Below are 23,225 nucleotides of genomic sequence, written 5' to 3' on the forward strand. Positions count from 1 at the left end.
GTCACTCAAGACATTTTAAATTTGCCTGGCATTAATTTGTTTCTACACTAATAATTTATTACCTTTATTGGCCTGAATTACTGGGTATTAACTCAAACAGCAAAAACAGCTTTCTGATATTTCTCAAAGATCATATCCAGCTTAATGCTAAAAAACAAACCAAGAAATTATGTTTCTATATATGGCCATGTTCTTATTTAAGAAACACAGTTACTTAAGAAACATTAACTATTTTTTACATGTATTTGTGTCAGACATTGGGGCAAATTTCGAATTTTACCTAATGTGTAAAATATATCTTTGGGGAAAATGAGCCTGTTAGGTTTCAGGATCAAAGGGGATTTAAGTTACCTTGATGCGCTGAGTCTTGTGTTTCCCTAAATTCATATATTGAACTCCTAACCCTCAATGTAGTAGTACTAAAAGGGTGGGTCCTTTGGGAGGTACTGTGATTTAGATTAGATCATGAGGATGAGACTTGCATGGTGGGAACAGTGCCTTTGTAAGAAGAAAAAGACCCAAGAGCTCGCTCTCTCTCCAAGCAAGCACCAAGGAAAGACTATGTGAGCACTTAAGAAGGTAGCTGCATACAAGCCAGGAAGAGGGCCCTCACTGGAACCCAACCATGCTGACACCCTGATCTTGGACTTCCAAGCCTCCAGAACTTTGAGAAATAAATTTTTATTGTTTAAGCCACCCAGTCTATGGTATTTTCTTACAGCAGCTCAAGACTTGGGTTTTTCAAGGCCACTAGTTATGAAAAGATTGCCATAACCTTTCACCTAAACCTCTGATTCTTTACAGCTAAGCTTTTCTTCAAAGTGTTTTCTTAATGAAGATTGTATTCACTCACAAATAGTTCTCCAAAACAGAGATTGATAAAAGGATGGAATGAGACTCATACACTCCTTTTCTGATTAAGATAACTCTGTATTTTACGCCACTTATATAGACTCAGTGTGTTAAGACGTATCTTGGGGAAAATATGGCTACTTTCTCAAAGTTGTAAGCTTTATTTCTATGTATAAAGTCCAGCTTTATTAGATGTTTCTGATTCCCAAAATAATAGTATTAGGATATTCCTTATTTTAGGCTTTAAATAATTTGTATAATAAAATAGTGTCAGTAGGTCCAAAGCTGAAATGCAAAGTTCAGATTTCTAATACAAAGGAGAGGAGTATTTTGTTTCTTTTGGTACAGCCATGGTTCCCAAACTGTGTAGCAGGGCACCTTAGCAAATTAACATGGGTGCCACACAATATTTTAAAATTTTTGAGAAAAACATAGCAACACCTGTTGGACATCACATAAACTACTACTTTGAGGTAGTTTACATTTTCAACATTAAATAGCATTATATTCCTTTCTATAACAACATATCTTTACAAAACTGGGTTTTCAGCAGTTTGATAAAAAGTACTGTGCAAGAAGCAGAGAGGAAAAGAAAATGATACTGATTCCAAGGTTTGAGACATGCAGTGTCCACAGTTACTAGTGGTGATGATGTACATTCTTATTAAGCTGTTGGATCTAACTGCTTAATAAACACAAGTATTAGATATTTCTTTTGGACCAGGTATGCTGTGAAAAAAGTACTGAGGCACTAAATAGTGTCATGAGCTGAGAAAGTTTGAGAATATCTGTGCTATAGGCAAGAAAAATACAAAACATCATTTAGTTTTTCACCTAGAAATTTTCTAAATAAATAGTCATACAAAAAAGGGAAAATATATACAAACGTACATACAAAGTTTGGATTTTTATTGAAATCTTGTTAGGTATCAAACAAATTCTGCTTTCTTCAGATAAAAATATTCTCTCAGATGTCTCCAGATAACTGCTAAGTCTAAATTGGTCCTTCAATGTCTTATTTTTATTGTCCTCGTGAAATGTTCATATACAGTTAAGATGTTCCCAAAAGGATTTTTATCGTGTAAAGGAGCGTACATGACGACCTCTACCACTGCCTCCACTAACAAACTTTCCTCTTGAGCCTCCACTGCCGCTATTTGCACTAGCCCAGGAAGGTCCAAGTCCCCCACGACCTCTAGAAGCACGGTCCCGAGGACTTGGGCGGTAACCTGTAAAAGAAAGAATACAGTTTTTAGTTCCAATGTCCTTTCTTTTCCAAGATTATAAATACTAATCTACGACACTGAGCTCAAACCAAGAATTACTCTATTCTCTTTTAAAGCTCACGTGCAAGCACGGTGAATGGGCCAAAGATTTTTGAATTATACATTTTAAACAGGTAAACTATATGGTATATGAGAATTATATCCTAAATAAAACTATTATTTTTTAAAAATGTGCATTTGAAACCAAAAGCTACTTCTGATAAGTAAAATTCTGGACTAGATAAATGTTTTAAAAAAAAAGGTTATGTGCTTACACACCTAAGACAATACTATAACCAAAAAAATATATGCTGTATAAAGGTATCTCTGTTATTAAAATACTTTGTGGTCAGAAAGATACCTTAAGCATTGGCTTTCATTACTGAAACATAAAAATAAGAGCACATCACCATGAAACTGTTCAGATTATACAAACAGTTCAGAAACTAAAAATTTGATTATTTTTACAGAAGATGTATATTGGGCATTCATTCAAGGATATAAACTTTAGAACTTTAAGTCTATACTCTAAAATATTCTCTTCCAGAATGAGAGTACAGTTGACCCTTGAACAACATGGGTTTCAACTGCCTAGGTCCACTTATATGAGGATTTTCTTCCACCTCTGCTGCTCCTAAGAAAGTAAGACCTCTCCTCCTCTTCCTCAGCCTATGGAATGTTATGACCTTTATGAAGATCCACTTCCACTTAATAGTAAATGTATTTTCTCTTCCTTATGATTTTCTTAATAACATTTTCTTTTCTCCAGCTTATTTAATTGTAACACATTATATAATATATATATAACATATAAAATATGTGTCAATCAACTGTTTATGTTATCTGTAAGGCTTCCAGTCAACAGTATACTAGCAGTAGTTAAGTTTTGGGGAAGTCAAAGTTATACTTAGATTTTTGACTGTGTGGAGCAAGGAGATGGGGAGATTAGCACCCCTAGCCCCCTCTGTATATGATATCAACAATTTTAAAGGAGGAATTTACTTCCCTTCTCTCAGCAATATCAAGTAGCAAGGATGTATACCTGTAGAACTAAGGGGTCGTAATGGTGGAAGAGGGCCTCTGTTAAAATTGCTCTGGCCTCCACGACTTTCATTGTAATTTCCTCGAGGAGTATTCTGAGCACTCCAACTGGAGCCTCTTGTTCCTTCCCGACGACTGTAGTTTCCTAAACACAAACAGCACAATCAAAATCACTTTTTTCACAACTTCAGTTGGATTCTTTTAAGTGACAGATTTTTCTTAATCTTCAAAAGAATGGAAAAGAAACTGAAATTCTGCAAACTGACTGTACTATATAGTGGCAACATCACAGTGGTTAAGAGCAGAGGCTCTAGAGCCAAACTGCCAGGGATCAAATACTGGTTCTACCACTTGTATTTATGTGCCCTGGTCAGCTGACTGACAATTTTCTCTTCTGCAAATTGGGAGTACTAAGAGAACTTGCCTCATGGGGTTGACATGAGGTTATAATATGTAAAGTGCTTATAACAGTTCCTGACACACCTAATCTAAGTGTTTGTTATTAATATAAACACAGATTCTCTTTCACTCTCACCCTCCTAACTCAGCAGGTATGAAAACATGTTTATCAATCCACTACTAAAGTATAATTTCTGTAAGTATCCCTAGTTTCTAAAATCTTGTAAGGCCAGGTGCAGTGGCTCACGCCTGTAATCCCTGCACTTTGGGAGGCCGAAGGTGGGTGGATCACCTGAGGTCAGGAGTTCGAGACCAGCCCGGCCAACATGGTGAGACCCCGTCTCTACTAATAATATAAAAATTAGCCGGGTGTGGTGGCGCATGCCTATAATCCCAGTTACTCGGGAGGTTGAAGCAGGAGAATCGCTTAAACCCAGGAGGCAGAGGCTGCAGTGAGCCGAGATTGCGCCATTGCACTCCAGCCTGGGCAAGAAGAGCAAAACTCTGTCTCCAAAAAAAAAAATCTTGTAACAATTTCAAACAGACTAAATATAACATTAGAAAACAAGCAGATTAGGCAGATCAATGGTGAACTGCACAGAACAATCTTAAGAAAACTGTTAAGTATAATTGTGAAAATAATGTAAGGGTATTACTCAGAAAATGTATAATTCTCAATGTAAAAAGGAAAATAAGGCTGAGCACGGTGGTTCATGCCTGTAATCCCAGCACTTTGGGAAGCCAAGGGGGGTGAATCACTTGAGGTCAGGAGTTTGAGACTAGCCTGGCAAACACGGCGAAAACCCATCTCTACTAAAAATACAAAAATTAGTTGGGCATTGTGGTGCATGCCTGTAGTCCCAAATACTTGGGAGGCTGAGGCAGGAAAATCACTTGAACCAGGGAGGCAGAGTTTGTAGTGAGCTGAGATCACACCACCGCACCCCAGCCTGGGCGACAGAGCAAGACTCTTGTCTCAAAAAAAAAAGGCCGGGGGGAATAATTAGCCAAGACTTCTAAACTCATTATTAAAAGTACAATGCATGAAAGGTTCATTGAAAAAAAGTTTCTTTCTTCTATCCAATAGAGTACTCTGCAAACAGTACCACTAGTCCAGAGGTGGCTCAACTGCAGCAACAGGAAAACTGTTTATCTGAATCTCTTCCATCTAAATCACTTTCATTCAATATTTTAACATTCCAATATTCTAACCCATTAGAAAATACATACTAATTAGTTACCTTTTGAAGCAGGTGGTGTGAAAAACCTATTCTGACTGTGGAAAGCACCCCGTCCTCCTCTATTGCCTGAAAACCCACCACGGGAAGAAATCTTCTGTGATACTTTGAGTGGCCGTTTTGGTGGAGGTATTCCATCTTGAGGAACCACTTCTTTACTTTCAGCAGCAACAAAGTCATCCACATGCATAGATGGTGGTCTACTTGTGTTCTGTTTTCTCTGACGAAAAATATCATGAGGTCGTATACCCTGTCCAAATCCTCCCCTGCCCCTTCCTCTTGGTGGTGGCACAACATGAGCTCTTTTGGCAGGTTCAATGTATTCAGATTTTCCACTATTAAAACAAAAACATGCCATAAAACATTTTTCTTTCAGGTTTCTAGCAAAAATAATCTTTATAATACCCAAAATTATATTTCAGTTTTTTTGTACTCCAATTCTGCTAACTTTGCAAGTATCTATCATACTTCTGGGATAATATAACAAACTAGCTAAGAAAAGTACTCACATTTCATTGTTATGAATAACAATGTTTTAAAATAATCCAGTTCACTTCTTATTCAAACCTTCCAAAATCTTGTAGAAAACAATATAACAAATGTACTGGGTATATCCTGGCCAAATTATTACGTTTAAATTTAAAAAATTCAAACAATGTTCATGATTCGAATGCTATGTTAATTTCCTTTCTAGTTTAATAGCATGTGTCTTTTTTTTTTTTTTTGAGAGACAGAGTCTTGCTCTGTCGCCCAGGCTGCAGCGCAGTGGCGTGATCTCGGCTCAATGCAATCTCCACCTCCCGGGTTCACACCATTCTCCTGCCTCAGCCTCCCGAGTAGCTGGGACTACAGGCACCCACCACCACGACCAGCTAATTTTTTTTTTTTTATTTTTAGTAGAGACAGGGTTTCAACATGTTAGCCAGAATGGTCTCGATCTCCTGACCTCGGCCTCCCAAAATGCTGGGATTACAGGCGTGAGCCACCGCGCTCGGCCGCATGTGTCTATCTTAAAATATACTAAAATACATAAGCTTATGTGATGACATTTGAGATCTTCAGTGGAATAAATTTTACCTTGACGTTATAAAGGTCTCATGCTTGTGCTTCCCAAGTTTGAATCCTTTAGTAGTCTTGGTTCTTCCTGGAGATGATGGTTCTGACAAAAATGAGCGCTCTAATTCTGAGTGCAAATCAAAGTCACTACAGCATTTTTCAGAGAGTTCAATTAAGTCAACCTTTACCTGCAGTCATAATAATGAAACAAAACACATATTAAATGTAATTATTAGCATAACATTTGACTACAGAAATTCTTATTACCTATAAATTATATTTGCCTCTCATAAGAAATAAATTATAGATCTACCTCTTTCATCTTTTCAAAAAGCAAATGGCATTGGTAGTTTAAAAACAAACACACACACACACCTTAGTAATGCTACTTTTTTTGTGTGTGGCATTCTTCAAAGCAGGGCTATTAATCTAGGAGAACTTTGATGCCTGAGCAGGAAACTCAGTATTTGTCTATATAAATTAACACTGTAATATCTCCTGAACTTTTCCAAAAAAAGAATCTGAAAATAACATACTCTGCCAGCCTTATATAGTCAACATTTCTATTACAAAAAGATTCTGTGCCACAGATTCCCAAAAGCTCTATGCATTTAATGAGGTTCCCATCTAAGTTTAATTTCAGGGAAATCAACATTCAGTTTACTTAGGTTTTATTCAAATTTATCAAATGTAAGATACCTAAAATTTCTCTAATCCAGAGGGTTACAATTATCATCACAAGACAGTTGTGATTCAACTTAAAGTTAAAAAATTAGTAACTTTTAACAAATATTTTATACCTGTGCTGCCCAACGTGGTAGCCACTAACAACATGTGCCTATCTAAATTAATCAAAATTAAATCAAAATAAAATTCAGTTCCCTAGTCATCCACATTTCAATTGTACAACAGGCACATGAGGCTACTGTTTTGGACAGGGCAGACTACAAAATATTTGCATTATTGCATAAAATTCTACTGGAGAGGACAGTTTTAAAGAACCACTGAACAGCTTGCACTAAAAAGAAATTAATTTTTAATGCACTTTTAATTGAATTGTATGTGGTTTTTTAAAAAAGGAAAAGCAGCCCTCAACACACTAAATACAAATGTGAAGCAAATCATTCTCTTAGTTTTATTGTATATGATGAACACCAGTATGTTTCTTTGATAAAGAAAAGGAACAATGTACTGTATAATAAGATGTGGCTAAAATAATTCGCCTTACCACATCTCTGAGAAGCATAGAACAGACTGCAATAAATTTTAAATAGTTAATTATACTCTTACCTATTCAGCATTATGTTTAAGAATGTCAATTCCCATTCATACTATACTATAACAAATACATTCTTCACAAGTTTCCAAACTGAGAGCCACACCATAGCACAACCATTCCTCTCCTTGAACCCAAATGCAAGAATAAACTGTTGTTTTATGGGATACTTTTCCCTGTTCTATACCCCGTCAAGTAAGAAAACAAAGTGCTTCATAGAACTTATGCAAAAGTGTGATTTTTCCCTTAAAAAAGTTACATTCTCTGGCCAAATGTGGTGGCTCACGCCTGTAATCCCATCGCTTTGGGAGGCCAAAGAGAGAGGATTGTTTGAGGCTAGGAGTGAGACCAGCCTGGGTAACAGAGTGAGACTTTATCTATATTAAAAAAAAATTTTTTTTTTGGCTGGGCATGGTGGCTCACGCCTGTAATCTCAGCACTCTGGGAGGCCAAGGCAGGCAGATCACAAGGTCAGGAGTTTGAGACCAGCCTGACCAACATGGTAAAACCCAGTCTCTACTAAAAATACAAAAAAATTAGCCAGGCGTGGTGGCACAGGCCTGTAATCCCAGCTACTCAGGAGGCTGAGGCAGAAGAATCACTTGAACCCGGGAAACGGAGGTTGCAGTGAGCTGAGATTGTGCCACTGCACTCCAGCCTGGGTGACAGAGTGAGACTCTGTCTCAAAAAAAAAAAAAAAAAAAAAAAAAAAAAAATTAGCAAAAAAGTCACAACCTCAAAATACAGATCACTAACTAGAAAGAAGCAAAAAAAGCAGGAGAAAAAACTTTCTGGATGCCATGAAGTGGGCAAGTGGCATAAAAATAATGTAGGACTTGCTTCCAAGTAGACTTTAACAGCCATAAAATATGGAAACTATTATAATGCTAACAATATATAAAGAAACAGAAAAAACAATAACGTTTTTCTAAATATTTAGTAATAATTTATACCAAATCCAGATCTGTATCTATCTCTTCAGCCTGAAATGGAGTGAACCACATAGATTTCAACTGATCATCCATGACATCAGCAAGCACATAGGCAGTCCTGGAACAAGAAAAGTATCTGGTGAAAAGCAGAATTCTAAAATCAAATTTCAATTTTTTTTTTTTGAGACACAGTCTTGCTGTTACCCAGCTGGAGCGCAGTGGCACGATCACAGTTCACTGCAGCCTTGATCTCCTGGGCTCAAGTGATCCTCCCACCTTAGCCTCCCTAGTAGCTGAGACCACAGGTGTGTACCACCACACCCAGCTAATTAAAAAAAATTTTTTTGTAGAGAGAGGGTCTCCCTATGTTGCCCAGGCTAGTCTCAAACTCCTGAGCTCAAGCTATCTTCCTGCCTCAGCCTTCCGAAGTGCTGGGATTATAGTCGTGAGCCAATATGCCCAGTCTTTTAGCTTATCTTCAAGTAAAATCTGTGGAAGGTACAATTAAAATTATTACTTTCTAAAGTATTATTAAAAGTAGTACCTAAAAAAGAAACTCCCAAAAGCAATTAAAAATTAAGTATCCTCAAAAACAAATAACTTGAAAACTAATTCTGCTGTAACAAGTTTTGACCTTTCAGTAAAATAAAACAATGCCCTGATTTTATCTGCTAGTTTGTTTCTGTACAGCCTGCAAGCTAGCATAGTTTGTATAAATTAAAAAAAAAAAAAAAAAACTAAAGAAGAATACACAACAGAGGCTGTATGGCCTGCAAAGCCTAGAATTCTTACTATCTGGCCCTTTATAGAAAAAAACGTTTGCTGGCACCCCCTAGACTACAGCCATTTTAAAACCAACAGCTATTCAATCATAAAACATTGTGTATTTTACCTATTGTTAAACAGATTCTGAAGAGATTCTGGAGCTGAAAGTACTGGTTCTACATCCTGGTCACTGAGAGGTAAAGGGTCACCTGATGACTCCAGCATCTGCTTAAGTCCAACTACACTGTCCAACAAAGAATCCAGATTGTCATCATCTTTTGAATGTTCCTAGATACAAATAAAGGCAGAATAAGAAGGTGCAGGTAAAACTTATGTCTGTAAACCTACTGACTCTTTCGTAGAAAAGGCTATATGTATTATTACTAAGAAATTTGGAACACTGTCCAGAAATTATTAACATTAAACACATTAAAATAAAACAAACACCAAAACACTTGTCATTTTATTTCTAAACAATAGCAGCAGAGGGTACCCTGCTTCCAAGGAACAGACAATTCAAAAAGTACCGTCTTCATGTACTCCTTAAAATTCATAACAGGATGGAGGACTTCACTTCAAATTATTAATTCAAAGAGTTATTTGAAATGGTACAAACACCCAGCTAAAGATTCACTATTTTAAAAAAGGTCACTACGAAATACTTGTACTAGTCAAACTGAGAGGAAAATAGGCCTTAAGAACGCTCTGTTTTTTTCTTTTTTACCAAAACAAGCTTCTCTAGTTCAAGGAACAAATTTTCTGGACTTTCTTCTTTGCTTTGTAGAAGCTGTTTTAACTCTGCAGCATTAATACTCATCGTCCGTGATGTATGAGCTCCCTCTACTTCCATGAGACCATTATCATCTCCACAGCATCCCTGTAAATGTCACACATAAGTTAAATTTGAGAACAGAGAAATTTACAAAGATGCATCCACACTTATTCATATTATCTAAGCCATATGCTGCAATCTTTCCTTCAATGTTTTCATTTTTACATCAGTACAAATGGCTAGTTTTAAGGATTTAGATGAAAGGTGAAGTATGTTTTCTTTGAGTAAGACTCACAAAATATTTAAATAAGCAAACATATATTTTACTGGCACCAAGACTTTTCAACAAAATACCGAATGGCAAAACACTGGCAGTTGTAGGACGTGACACACTGATTGATGCTCAAGAATTAATAAAATGCTTGCTATAACAAAGAACTGATGAAACCTGAAATTATCTTTCTGAAGATAACACAAACAACTAAAGAAAATAGTAACTATCATATTTAAGACTATATTCTGTCACATAGAAAAGTTAATATTTTCTGCTTTAAAAAGTATGCTACATAATAAAGTGAATTCTGGAGTGATAACATTTCAATACCAGAAAATCCTTCCAGCAAAATAAATCTTGCTTCATGATAAGAAAACCATCCATATTGTCACATACACTTATGGTAGAGGGCCGTATGCCTACCTAAACATTGTATAAAATCTTTAGCCTTGTTTTTTTGTTGCTGTTGAGACAGGGTCTCGCTATGTCACCTAGGCTGCAGTGCAGTGGCACAATCATAGCTCACTGCAGCCTTGACCTCCCCAGGATCAAGTGATCCTTGCATCTCATCCTCCCAAGTACCTGGGACTGACTGCAAGCACGTGCCACCATGCCCAGGTAATTTAAAATTTTTCATATAGATGGGGTCTCACTATGTTACCTAGGCTAATCTCAAATCCTGGGCTCAAGCAATCCTCCCACCTCAACCTCCCAAAATGCTGAGATTACAAGTGTGAGCCACCTTGCCTAACCTGTTTTTCTTTCTTTCTTTCTTTTTCTTTTTTTTTCTTTTTTTTGAGATGGAGTCGCACTTTGTTGCCCAGGCTGGAGTGCAATGGCGCAATCTCAGCTCACTGCAACCTCTGCCTCCGGGGTTCAAGCACTGGGATACAGGCATCCACCACCAAGCCCAGCTAATTTTTTGTATTTTTAGTAGAGACGAGGTTTCACCATGTTGGCCAGGCTGGTTTCGAACTCCTGACCTCGAGTGATCCACCCACCTTGGCCTCCCAAAGTGCTAGGATTACAGGAGTGAGCCACCATGCCCGGCCTATTTTTCTTATTTTAAGAGACGAGTTGGCCAGGCATGGTGGCTCATGCCTCTAATCCCAGCACTTTTGGGGGCTGAGGCAGGTGGATTGCTTGAGCCCAGGAGTTCAAGACCAGCCTGGGCAACATGGCAAAATCCCATCTCTACTAAAAATACAAAAATTAGCCGGGTGTGATGGTGCACATCTATAGTCCCAGCTACTCAGGAGGCTGAGGTGGAAGGATCACCTGAGCCTAAGGAAGTCAAGGCTGCAGTGAGCCATGATCACACCACTGCACTCCAGCCTGGGCACCAGAGTGAGACCTCGTCTCAGGAAAAAAACAGGGAGAGAAAGAGAGTCTCACTCTTTCATCCAAGCTGAAATACACTGGCACGATCATAGCTCACTGCAACCTTGAACTCATAGGTTCAAGTGATTTCCCCAACTCCGCCTCCTGAGCAGCTGGGACTAGAGGCACATGCCACCAAACTAAGTAAGGCAGGCATATTAATGGCTTCTGGAATTGTGCTCATAATATACCATGACTTTGGAAAATACTAATGAGAGAAATCTTAATTAAATTTTAACAATAAGATTTTAGAGTGGGGAAAATAATCTTTAATTCATATTTGTACGATAGACCAAAAATACTAAAGCATAATAAACTTTACAGTTATCCCAAAATCACAACATCCAAAACAATCAGTAAATTAAGTAACAAAAATAAGTAAATAACAAAGAGACTAACAAAACTTCATTATTCTGAGTTGCCCTAGCAAGGTAACTCAATGTCATAAATTTTTTTCTTTTTTGAGACAGCGTCTTGCTCTGTCACCTAGACTAGACTGCAGTGACACAATCATAGCTAAGTTCAGTCTCCAACTCCTGGACTCAAGCTATCCTCCAATCTTAGCCTCTCAAATAGATGGGACTACTGGTGGGCACACCACGTGTGGCTAATTTTTGTTGTTTCTAGAGACAGAGTTTTGCTGTGTTGTACAGGTTGATCTCAAACTCCTGGGCTCAAGCGATCCTACCACAGCCTCCCAAAGTGATGGGATTAGAGGCACGTGCCACCACACTCATCTAAGAATTATTTTAAAATGAAAGCACTTGGCCAGGTGCGGTAGCTCATGCCTGTAATCCCAGCACTTTGGGAGGCCGAGGTGGGCAGATCACCTAAGATCAGGAGTTCAAGACCAGCCTGGCCAACATGGTGAAATCCCATCTCTACTAAAAAGGTACAAAAAATTAGCTGGGCATGGCGGCAGGTGCCTGTAATCCCAGCTACTCAGGAGACTGAGGCAGGAGAATCACTTGAACCCAGTATGTGGAGGTTGCAGTGAGCCGAGATTGTGCTACTGCACTCCAGTCTGGATGACAGAGTGAGACTCTATCTAAAATAAAATAAAATAAAATAAAATGAACTAAAGTGATCTTTTTTATGTTGGATATTTAATATATAAAGTGATTTAACTTACGGCAAAGTATTTCTCTTTTTTTCAAGACAGGGTCTCACTATTTTGCCCAGGCTGGTCTCAAACTCCTGGCCCCAAGAGATCCTCCCACCTCAGCCCACCAGAGTGCTGAGATTACAGATGTGAGCCATCGTACTTGGCCAAAGATTTCAAATTTAAGAAACACCAAATACATACATACATATATACACAAACACAAACACACACATACTTACAATTGTGTCAGAGTTAAGAATTTGTCTCATAAATTCTAAAAATGAAGATGCAAGCTCTCCTGTGTCCTTACTAAATGTGCTGACCACTCGTTTCAGTAAACTATGCAGAGCACTACTGTTTTTCCTTAAAGAACTGTAAATAAAGAAAATAAAGAGAAGATATTATCTTAAAATATGAGCATATAAAACTGGTATGATAAATGAACTCACTTCAGACAGAATAAAACTTACTCCATCATTTTTAAAAATGCTAAGAAGTACTTTGGTGTGTCTTTGTACACAAATATAACAAAGAACCGTCAATAGTTACCAACTCCTTTTAAAGCTAAGCTTCAAGATCTTAAAAAAAAATTCCCCCAAATAATCATTTTATAAAATTTAACACAAGAGGCTGGGTGTGGTGGCTCACGCCTGTAATCCGGGCGCTTTGGGAGGCCGAAGGTGGTGGATCACTTGAGGTCAGGAGTTTAAGAGCAGCCTGGCCAACATAGGGTAACCCGGTCTCTACTAAAAAAAAATACAAAAATTAACGGGGGGTGGCAGCACACACCTGCAATCCCAGCTACTCGGGAGGAGGTGAGGCAGAAGAATCACTTAAACGATTGGGAGGCAGAGGTTGCAGCGAGCCGAAATCACGCCACTGCACTCCAGCTTGAAGGACAGAGTGAGGCTTCATCTCAAAAAAAAAAAAAAAAAAAAAACTTAACACAGAAAACTTGCCAGTTCCCTATTTATAAACCTTTTGGCCAGGCGCGGTGGCTCACACCTGTAACCCCAGCACTTTGGGAGGTCGAGGCGGGCAGATCACGAGGTCAGGAGATCAAGACCATCCTGGCTAACACAGTAAAATCCCGTCTCTACTAAAAATATAAAAAATTTGCCAGGCGTAGTGGTGCACGCCTGTAATCCCAGCTACTGGGGAGGCTGAGGCAGGAGAATCACTTGAACCCAGGAGACGGAGGTTGCAGTGAGCCGAGATTGTGCCACTGCACTAGGCCTGGGCAACAACAAAGAGAAATAGATTAAATTCAAAAATAAAAATGTTAATGGAAAAAGCATGGGTTCAAAATTGGACTACACCCATTACTAACCACTACACACAATCTTTAAGTGAGTCATACTTCCGTGGTCTATCAAAAGCTGGGGACCTATTAGAATGCCTAACATTTAAAAACTTGCAATACCAAGTTCTGGGGAGGATGAGGAGCAACTGGGGCTCTAATACACTGCTAGTGGGAATGAAAAATGGTATCTCTACTTTGGAAAACAGTTCGGTAGTTTCTTTTTTTTTTTTTTTTTTGAGACGGAGTCTCCGGTAGTTTCTTTTAAGGTTAAACACACACACCTATCATACAACCCAGTAACCCCACTCCTAAGTGTCTACCCAAGAGAAATGAAAACTGAGATTCACACAAAAACCTGTGTGCAAAGCTTTATTCATAACCACCAAAATTTGAAAACAACCCAGATTGCTAGAAAATTAGTCACCGATAAGAACTACATGACTCTAAGCATCTGTCAAAACACATAGAACTGTACACCATAAAACATAAATTTGACTAGATATAATTTTTTAAAAAATCAACAAGGGGTTGGGCGCAGTGGCTCATGACTGTAATCCCAGCACTTTGGGAGGCCGAGGCAGGTGGATCACGAAGTCAGGAGTTCGAGACCAGCCTGGCCAACATAGTGAAACCCTGTCTCCACTAAAAAAACAAAATATATACAAAAAATTAGCCAGGCATGGTGGCAGGCGCCTGTAATCCCAGCTACTCGGGAGGCTGAGGCAGGAGAATCACTTGAACCCAGGAGGCGCAGGTTGCAGTGAGCCGAGATCGCACCATTGCACTCCAGCCCAGGGGACAGTGCGAGATTCCATCTCAAAAAAAAAAAAAAAAAAAAAACAACCAATAAGGATATGAGGGAAAAAATAAGAATGCAGACTATGACCAATGAATCTAACTATATTACAAATGAACCATATAACCAAACTGAAGGAGACAGGGAAGAAATAAGCTGACATAAATAACTGAAAAACAGTTTTTTGACTGGATACACTAAGGCTAAAGACAAAAAGAACCATATACAACACTGTACTCCGATTGCTCAATTTGTTTCCCACAGGAGTATGGTTTAGTAATGAGTTTGAGACTGCTACTTCATTTGTAAACTAGGGCTAAACAAATAAGCAAATATAGATAATGAGAGCTGAATTTCTCACTGTTAGAGAATAAAATAATCAAGAAAGGGAAAAGGCTAGAATTCACTTCTGGTACTGGATCAAAGTCAAAGTATTAGTATGGGCCAGGTGTGGTGGCTCACACCTATAATCCCAGCATTTTGGAAGGCAGAGACAGGTGGATCACTTGAGCCCAGGAGTTCGAGACCAGCCTGGGCACCAGCTGAAACCCCGGCTCTACAAAAGATACAAAAATTAGCCAGGCATGGTGGCTTGTGCCTGTAGTAGTACTTGGAAGGTTGAGGCAGTGCACGAAATTTCCATGCACTATTCAGTAGAATGTATATTCTGTGGTTGTTGGATGGAATGTTCTGTATCTAACTGTTAAGTCCGTTTGTTCCAAGGTATAGTTCAAATCTATTGTTTCTTTGTTGAGTTTCTATCTTGATGACCTCTCTAATGCTTTCAGTGGAGTATTGAGGTCCCCCACTATTATCGTGTTGCTGTCTATCTTATTTCTTAGGTCTATGATTAATTGTTTTATAAATTTCAAAGCTCCAGTGTTAGGTGCATATATGTTTAGGATTGTAATATTTTCCTATTGGACAAGGCCTTTTATTATTATATAATATCCCTCTTTGTCTTTTTTAAGTTGCATGAAATGTCTTTTTCATGCAAATGAAGGAGGATCAGGAGAAGTGCTTGAGCCCGGGAGGCGAAGGCTGCAGTGAGCCGAGATCATGCCACTGCACTCCAGCCTAGGCAACAGAGTTAGACCCTATCTCAAAACAAACAAACAGACAAAAACACCCACCAAGTATTAGTATGAATTAATTTTCTCAAAAACATATATATAAATTAATAAATTTATTGTTTTAAAATAAATTTTATAATTAAAACTTTTAATATTTAAATAAATTAATTTTAAAATATGTATCTGTTTTATGTAGATAAAATGTAAAAAGAAAGTAAATGTATGTAAATGTGTGATGAATTAGGACACATACGTATATTTCCCAGCTCTATCCAATGAGACACACCAAAATCAGTGACATCCTAAGAGCAATAAACACACCCAGAGCCCAGATCCTGGTTTCTAAATATTCTCCAATAAAAGGAACCAGGGGCTCCTTGGAGAACAAGTCCATCTTGGCTGGAACAGGGAAAATACAAGCTGATCCTGGAACACCTTGTAGTACTAGCAATAGGAAGTACTTAAAAAATTTTTTTTTAAGTCAGAGCTATGTAACAAACCGGAACGTTCTGCACATGTATCCCAGAACTTAAAGTAAAATTTTACAAATATATAAATTAAAAAAGTCAAGAGCATATGAAAAGGGCACAGAAGCCAACCTGAAAGATCCCTAGTGGCCAGAGTTGGAATAAGATGAACAACAAAATAAGTAAGGATAGTATTGAATTATATACAATGAAAAAAATTAATGTCTATGAATTCACACTGATATAAATATCTGGATAAACCAATGCAGGAGAAGCAACAACTCTTCCTTATGGAAGGAAAATTAGTAAGTAAAAAGGAATGAAGGGAATAGAAAATCACCATTACACCACCACAGTAATAACTGCCATATCTTGCCAAGATCTACACTGACAGATACTAAAAATGGTGGATGAAAGTTTTTGGCATAAATAGGATATGTGGATATCATAATATCTCAAAGTATAGTCTCCAAAATATTTAGTAATTAAAAATGGGAAATTAATAAGTTTTCAGTGCAGAATCCTAGAAGATAGCACTTCAGCCAAGTGATCAAGGTCAGTATCATCAGTAATATATAGAAACATCATGTATTTCCTTATATGATGCACTGAAAAAGGCACATTGCCTCTGTAATATCCCTATCAACAAAGAATAATGTCAATCTAATTATGAGAAAATATCAGACAAACTCAAATTGAGGGACATTCTACAAAACAAGTGAGCAGTACTCTCCAAAAATGTCAAGGTCATGAAAGATAAGGAAAGGGGAGACAAAGGATGCAATGCAATGTAAGATCTTACATTGGATCCTGGAACAGGAAAAAACATAGTAATAGAAAATTCAAATAAAATCTGTATGTTAGTTAATAGTAGTATGACAACATTAATTTCTTAGTTTTGGTAAGTATTATACAGTTATGTAAGAGGATAATACAAGTGTAAGGTGGGTGAAGGGCACACCTGAACACTACACTATTATTTTTGCAATTCTTCTGAAAGTCTAAAATTATCTCCAAAAAAACTTTTTAAAAAAGTGTAACCTGCCACAGGACTATATAAGAAAAAGTATATGGTGACCTGTTAATTTAAAAAAACCAAAAAAACAAAAAAAAAACAGGTTGGGCACAGTGGCTCACATCTGTAATTCCAACACTTTGTGAGGCCAAGGCAGGAGGATCACCTGAGGTCAGGAGTTCAAGACCAGCCTGGCCAACATGGTGAAACCCGCTCTCTACTAAAAATTCAAAAAATTAACTGGGTGTGGTGGTGCATGCCTGTAGTCCCAGCTACTTGGGAGGCTGAGGCAGGGGAATCACATGAACCCGGGTGGCAGAGGTTGCTGTGAGCTGAGATTGTGCCACTGCACTCCAACCCGGGCGATAGAGCAAGACTCCATCTCAACAAAAAATAAAATTAAAAAAAAAAAAACCCAGGTCATGCTGTATCTCTGCTTAAAACCTGACAATGGCCCGTATCATAAGCCTAAAGGCCCTTGATGATCTTTCTCCCATTCTGTACCCCCATTACCTCCATAACCAGACATCCTATCATTTTTCTCCTTGCTCACTCTGAGGGCTCTCACTGTGGCCTCAGAGCTGTTTCTCAGACATATGAAGCATGCTTTTGCAATTGTTCTCCCCAGGATATTACCATGTTTTGTTCCTCACCTCTTTCAGGTCTTCATCTTTGTTCAAGGGTTTTTAATATCCTGGTGAGCCTTACAGATCATTATAGAGAGTTTGGATTTTAATTGAGGTACAATAGGAAACCATTAGAAGGATTTCAGCAGAAATCCGGTTTTAAGTTTTAAAAGATTACTTTGGCTTCTGAGAGAACGAATTTTAGAGAGCCAAATGGTGGAAGCAAGGAGACCAATTAGGAGGCTATTGCAATGGGCTATGCAAGAAATGATAGTGGCCTGGATAAAGGTAATAGCTACAGAGGTGGAGAAGAGGGATCAGATTCAGGATGTATTTTGGAGAAATAATCCACAGGACTTAATGAGATGCCATTAGATAGTCAAGTAGAAATGTCAAGTAGATTAATGGGTTACTTGGAGCTTAGCAGAGAGATAAGGGCTAAAAGGGAAAAAGGGAATAGGTTAAGAGGACTTAGGACAAGGTTACAGATAAGAAAAAAGGACCAGAAACATTAAGTCTAGGAAACCCAACAAAATCATAGATAATACGATAGCACAGGTGTACAAAAAATCTTTGTGGGAGTACCTAACCCAACTAGGAAAGCTTTTTGGCTTTTTTGGAAGTGCAGTGTATGAGGTGAGTTTCAAAGGACATGGAGTAAATATCTTGGCAATAGGAAAAAGGTTAAAGGCTTTGGTGAGAGACTGGATGGGGGCAGAGCATGAGGAATGGATGTGAAGCAGGTGCCATCAACTGAGAGCGAATACAGAAGATGCAGGTACATCAGGACAAGGAGATGCAGAAAGGAAGAGCCAGCACCAAACACAGTACCTGCAATGTAAGTTTTCAACCAATGCTGCAAGAATTAATGAGAAAGAGGCAAAAGTATGTTTCCTCCTCCTTACTATCTCATAATCCCATGTAGTTTAATAAATATAAGTACTAGCCAGGTATCTTCCCTCTTCCTTCTCCCAGCAAATAAAAACATCAGGGCATCGGCAGAAAAATTAGAGTAGAAATTATACTTGAGACAGTGAGCAGTCTGAGGTTTATATCATTTCTTTTTCTTTTTTTTTGAGACAAGGTCTCCCTCTGTTGCCCCGACTAGACTGCAGTGGCATGATCACTGCAGCGGCATGATCACTGCAGCCTTGACCTCCCAGGCTCAAGCAATCCTCCCACCTCAGCTTCCCAAGTAGTTGGGACTACAGGTGTGTGCCATCATGCCCAACTAATTTGTAAATTTTTTTTATAGAGATAAGTCTCCCTATGTTGCCCAGGCTAAACTTGAACTCTTGAACTACTGGGCTCAAGTGATCCTCCCACCTCAGTCTCTTGAAGTGCTGAAATTATAGGTATGAGCCACCATGCTCAGCTATTTATATAATTTCAGATTAATTTTGTCCCAGCCATTCCTCTAGAAAACAAAATATGGTCAGCTCTCCATACCCATGGATTCTGCATCCACGGATTCCACCAACCATGGAATGAAAATATTATAAATAAATAAATAACAATATGAATAAAAAAATACAAATTTTAAGATACAGCAAAAAATTATTTACATAACATTCACACTGTATTATTAGGTATTATAAGTAATCTAAGGTGATTTCAAGTATACAAGAGAAATACTGTACCGTTTTATATAATGGACTTGAGCATCTGTAGATTTTGGTATCCAATTCCCCATAGATACTGAGGAACTGTACACAGAATCTGCATTTTAGCTTTAAGGTCTATAAAATCCCTCTAGCATCCATCACTTCTGAGGATACAACAACGAAACAAAGACCTTAAGGCATGAATTACCATCCCTGGAACAGTGAGATTTCCTTCCAGATACTGTACCATGCCCACAGTAATTTGTGTATCTATTCATTTTATATCTTTAATCCAAAAGATTCTATTATTAGCATGACCTTTCATTGCTAATTAATCTTTTCCATACACACAAAATTTCTCCCACGAAAGAAATCATTTCTTCAACTTTCTACAATAGGTATGAATTAATGTGGGGTGAAGGAGCAGTGACAGAATGAAAAAATTAAATCTGAGAGTATATTAAATTAGACAAATCATTACCTTTTTAAATGAAATAATCCATAATCATGCTCTGCAAGAAACATCATTGTTCTGACACATGTCAGTAAACAGTTGTAACTGCTCTCAGAGTTAGCTAGCGTAGCCAACAGACAGTCACAGATTGAGGTCATCAATTCTTTATTTGGTAGAGAATTGGAGAGCTGCTCCAGTTCAGAAATAGAACCTTCAGAAGAGCTTGGTAAGATAAGTGCAATGTCCTGTGGGGAGCAGGGAAAAAAAAATCGATTTTTTAAATAATTATCACCATCACTTAGCACTTTTGAGAAATACATAGCAATTAATATTCAATAACTATCTCATTAAAATATTGTTGCTACTGTCCCATCCCAAACATATAAACACATTAAGAATAATGAAATTACTTTTCCCTTTTAAAAAAGTTAATACAAGGATACACACCTAAAGGAATAAATATTTAAATATTTTGATTTACTTTTACTTTAAAACAACATCTTTCAAATTTTTTTTCTTTCAGTATTGCAGTAAGTATAGTTTCTGTTTTCAATAGGTTAAAGGTAAAAAGTATTTTGTACTAAAATAATTAACTTACTGTATTATTTATTCATTTGTATCTTTTTTGGTTTATAAAGAAACTTTTCAGAGAAATAAAGTTTTTCTTTTTTTTTTTTTTTGAGACGGAGTTTCACTCTTGTTGCCCAGGCTGGAGTACAATGGCATGATCTCGGCTCACTGCAACCTTCGCCTCCCAGGTTCAAGCAATTCTCCTGCCTCAGCCTCCCGAGTAGCTGGGATTATAGGAATGCAGCACCACACCCGGCTAATTTTGTATTTTTAGTATAGACGGGGTTTCTCCATGTTGGTCAGGCTGGTCTTGAACTCCTGACCTCAGGTGATCCACCTGCCTCGGCCTCCCAAAGTGCTGGGATTACAGGCATGAGCCACTGTGCCCAGCCAGAAATAAAGTTTAATATACATTAATACTGCAATTTAAGGCTCGGCACAGTGGCTCACACCTGTAATCCCAGCACTTTCAGAGGCCAAGGCAAGTGGATTACCTGAGGCCAGGAGTTCAAGACGAGCCTGGCCAACATGGTGAAACACCCTCTCTACCAAAAATACAAAAATTAGCCAAGCATGGTGGCACACACATGTAATCCCAACTACTGGGAGGCTGAGGCAGAAGAATCACTTGAACCCAGGAGGCGGAGGTTGCACTGAGCCAAGACTGTGCCACTGCACTCCAGTCTGGGCAACAGAGCCAGACTCCATCTCAAAAACAAACAAACAAAAAAACAAAAAGCCCCCTGCAATTTAAAATATCAGAAAGTTGGATGGATAGAGGAGATGAACATTTAAACACAGTCTTTCAATCAAATATTTCCCTCTACTTTATATATATACATGTATATATGTATATATATGTATATATGTATGTGTATATATGTATGTACATATGTGTATATGTGTATATATGTATATACATATGTGTATATATGTATATATGTGTATATATATAAGTATATATATATACTTCTAAATTCAAGTTTTCCAATGCTAAGCAAGTTTAGCTAATGATAACTCTAAAAACTCCTGCTACTCTTTATAGAAGTAAACTGAATTTTTTTTTGAGACGAAGTCTCCCTCTATTGCCCAGGAGTGCAGTGGCGCAATCTCGGCTCATTGCAACCTAGGCCTACTATGAGATTCAAGCAATTCTCCTGCCTCTGCCTCCCAAGTAGCTGGGACTACAGATGCATGCCACCACGCCCAGCTAGTTTTTTTGTAGTAGAGATGGGGTTTCACCATATTGGCCAGGCTGGTCTCAAACTCCTGATCTCGTGATCCACCCATCTCAGCTTCCCAAAGTGCTAGGATTACAGGCGTGAGCTACCATGCCCGGCCAGAAGTAAACTAAATTTTACAAGAGCATTTTTCATTATGTTTTATCATCTTTAATTACTTCAATATACTGCAAACTCGTATTCAACTTGGCTTAAACTATACAACAAGGCTCGAATCAGAAGGAAAACACAGCAAAGTGAGGCCATCAATGAGATTCGTGTGACCAAGGCAGCTAGGATGCCACAGCGCTATTCAATGTAGTCATGCAACCCAAAGTGGATTATACAAGAAATACCAACCAAATGGACACTTTGAGGTACAAGGACTTAGAATACCCTTTCTACCAGGTCCCCTTCTTTGTGAAAACAAGTCATACAAAAAAAAAAAAAAGTTCTTTCTTGACCTGAGTCTTAAATGTAACCAAACTGAATATTTGTTAAGGTAGAAAAAGACAGTCTTCCAACATGGGACTCTATTCTGCCTGAAAAAAAAAAATCACATTTGATGACCACTTAGCAAGAGCATTCTGACAAGCTAAAATGCCATTAGGCATAGAAATCTCCAAAGATCTCAATCATAATGGGCTTTAAAAGCTAAAACAATTCTCATTAACCCATGAAACTATAAACTGGAAGTCAATAATACAGACAACAGGAAAAAATACTACTACTTTAGCCAACATCTATAAGCAAAGTAGTCTGAAACACACTAAAAGTGTAGTAGCCTTCAAAGATTGCCCCAACAAGAGAACATATTAATTCAACCAAGCTATGAAATTTAAGAATGACTTGGTGTAGCCAGGCATGGTGGCTCTCGTCTGTAATCCCAGCACTTTGGGAGGCCGAGGCAGGTGGATCACCTGAGGTCAGGAGTTCAAGACCAGCCTGACCAACACGGTGAAACCCTGTCTCTACTAAAAATACAAAAATTAGCCAGGTGTGGTGGTGTGTGCCTGTAATCCCAGCTACTCAGGAGGCTGAGGCAGGAGAATCACTTGAACCCAGTGGGGCAGAGGCTGCAGTGAGCTGAGATCACGCCATTGCACTCCAGCCTGGGCGACAGAATGAGACCCCATCTCAAAAAAAAAAAAAGAATGACTTGGTGTGTAACGTAATTGGAAGGAAAATGAATTAGACCCTAAAAAATACGGAAACACTGGCACATAAAGCAATTACCCAAGGTTATGATCTTATAAAGGAAAGAAAAAAGCTCTTCAGAGAACCCATGAACAACAGCAGGAATAATAAAACATAGATGACAGCTGTTCATTCACAGCCAAAATTTACATCAAGATGCTTAAATACACACACACACACACACACATACACATGCAGAGAGAGACTTTATAAAATAACTATAAATACCTGATCACAGAGAGACTGCAAAATGGATGTGACATATTCAACACACTGTTGGCGAATAACACTGTCTCCAGGAGACCGCACCAAAGCTAAAAGATCCTGGAATATCTCTGCATATCTTTCATCACCTTTAATAGTTCCATTAATTAGATGCAAAATAGCTAATTTACAAGCTTTGTGTGAAGCCAGAGCATCAAGAAGAGCAAGCAACCTGGTGGTTTGGCTAGTATACTGTTTTTCTTTATCTTCTGAAGTGCTGAAATAAAATCGATACATTTAGTAAACAAAGTTCTTGACCTTAAGGCATTGTTTAACTAGTA

The 23,225-nt window shown here is 38.1% G+C and overlaps 1 protein-coding gene across 3 annotated transcripts in view; it reads right to left on the reverse strand.

Annotated features, from left to right (window-relative positions):
• Positions 1–909: 909 nt before the first annotated feature.
• The window catches only part of VIRMA (vir like m6A methyltransferase associated), a 65,781-nt gene continuing 43,465 nt past the window's right edge, over positions 910–23,225 (reverse strand). For all 3 annotated transcript variants that reach the window (NM_015496.5, XM_047421677.1, XM_047421678.1), the window contains 10 exons: positions 22,909–23,161; positions 19,721–19,938; positions 12,595–12,727; positions 9,549–9,701; positions 8,952–9,112; positions 8,081–8,177; positions 5,873–6,039; positions 4,799–5,130; positions 3,160–3,303; positions 910–2,081 (listed from right to left, as the gene is read on the reverse strand). In NM_015496.5, coding sequence (NP_056311.2) covers positions 1,927–2,081; positions 3,160–3,303; positions 4,799–5,130; positions 5,873–6,039; positions 8,081–8,177; positions 8,952–9,112; positions 9,549–9,701; positions 12,595–12,727; positions 19,721–19,938; positions 22,909–23,161 — 1,813 coding nt within the window. In that variant the 3' untranslated portion in view covers positions 910–1,926. The remainder of the gene's footprint in view (positions 2,082–3,159; positions 3,304–4,798; positions 5,131–5,872; positions 6,040–8,080; positions 8,178–8,951; positions 9,113–9,548; positions 9,702–12,594; positions 12,728–19,720; positions 19,939–22,908; positions 23,162–23,225) is intronic.

The sequence above is a fragment of the Homo sapiens genome, chromosome 8, assembly GCF_000001405.40.
Source record: "Homo sapiens chromosome 8, GRCh38.p14 Primary Assembly".
Taxonomy (NCBI): domain Eukaryota; kingdom Metazoa; phylum Chordata; class Mammalia; order Primates; family Hominidae; genus Homo; species Homo sapiens.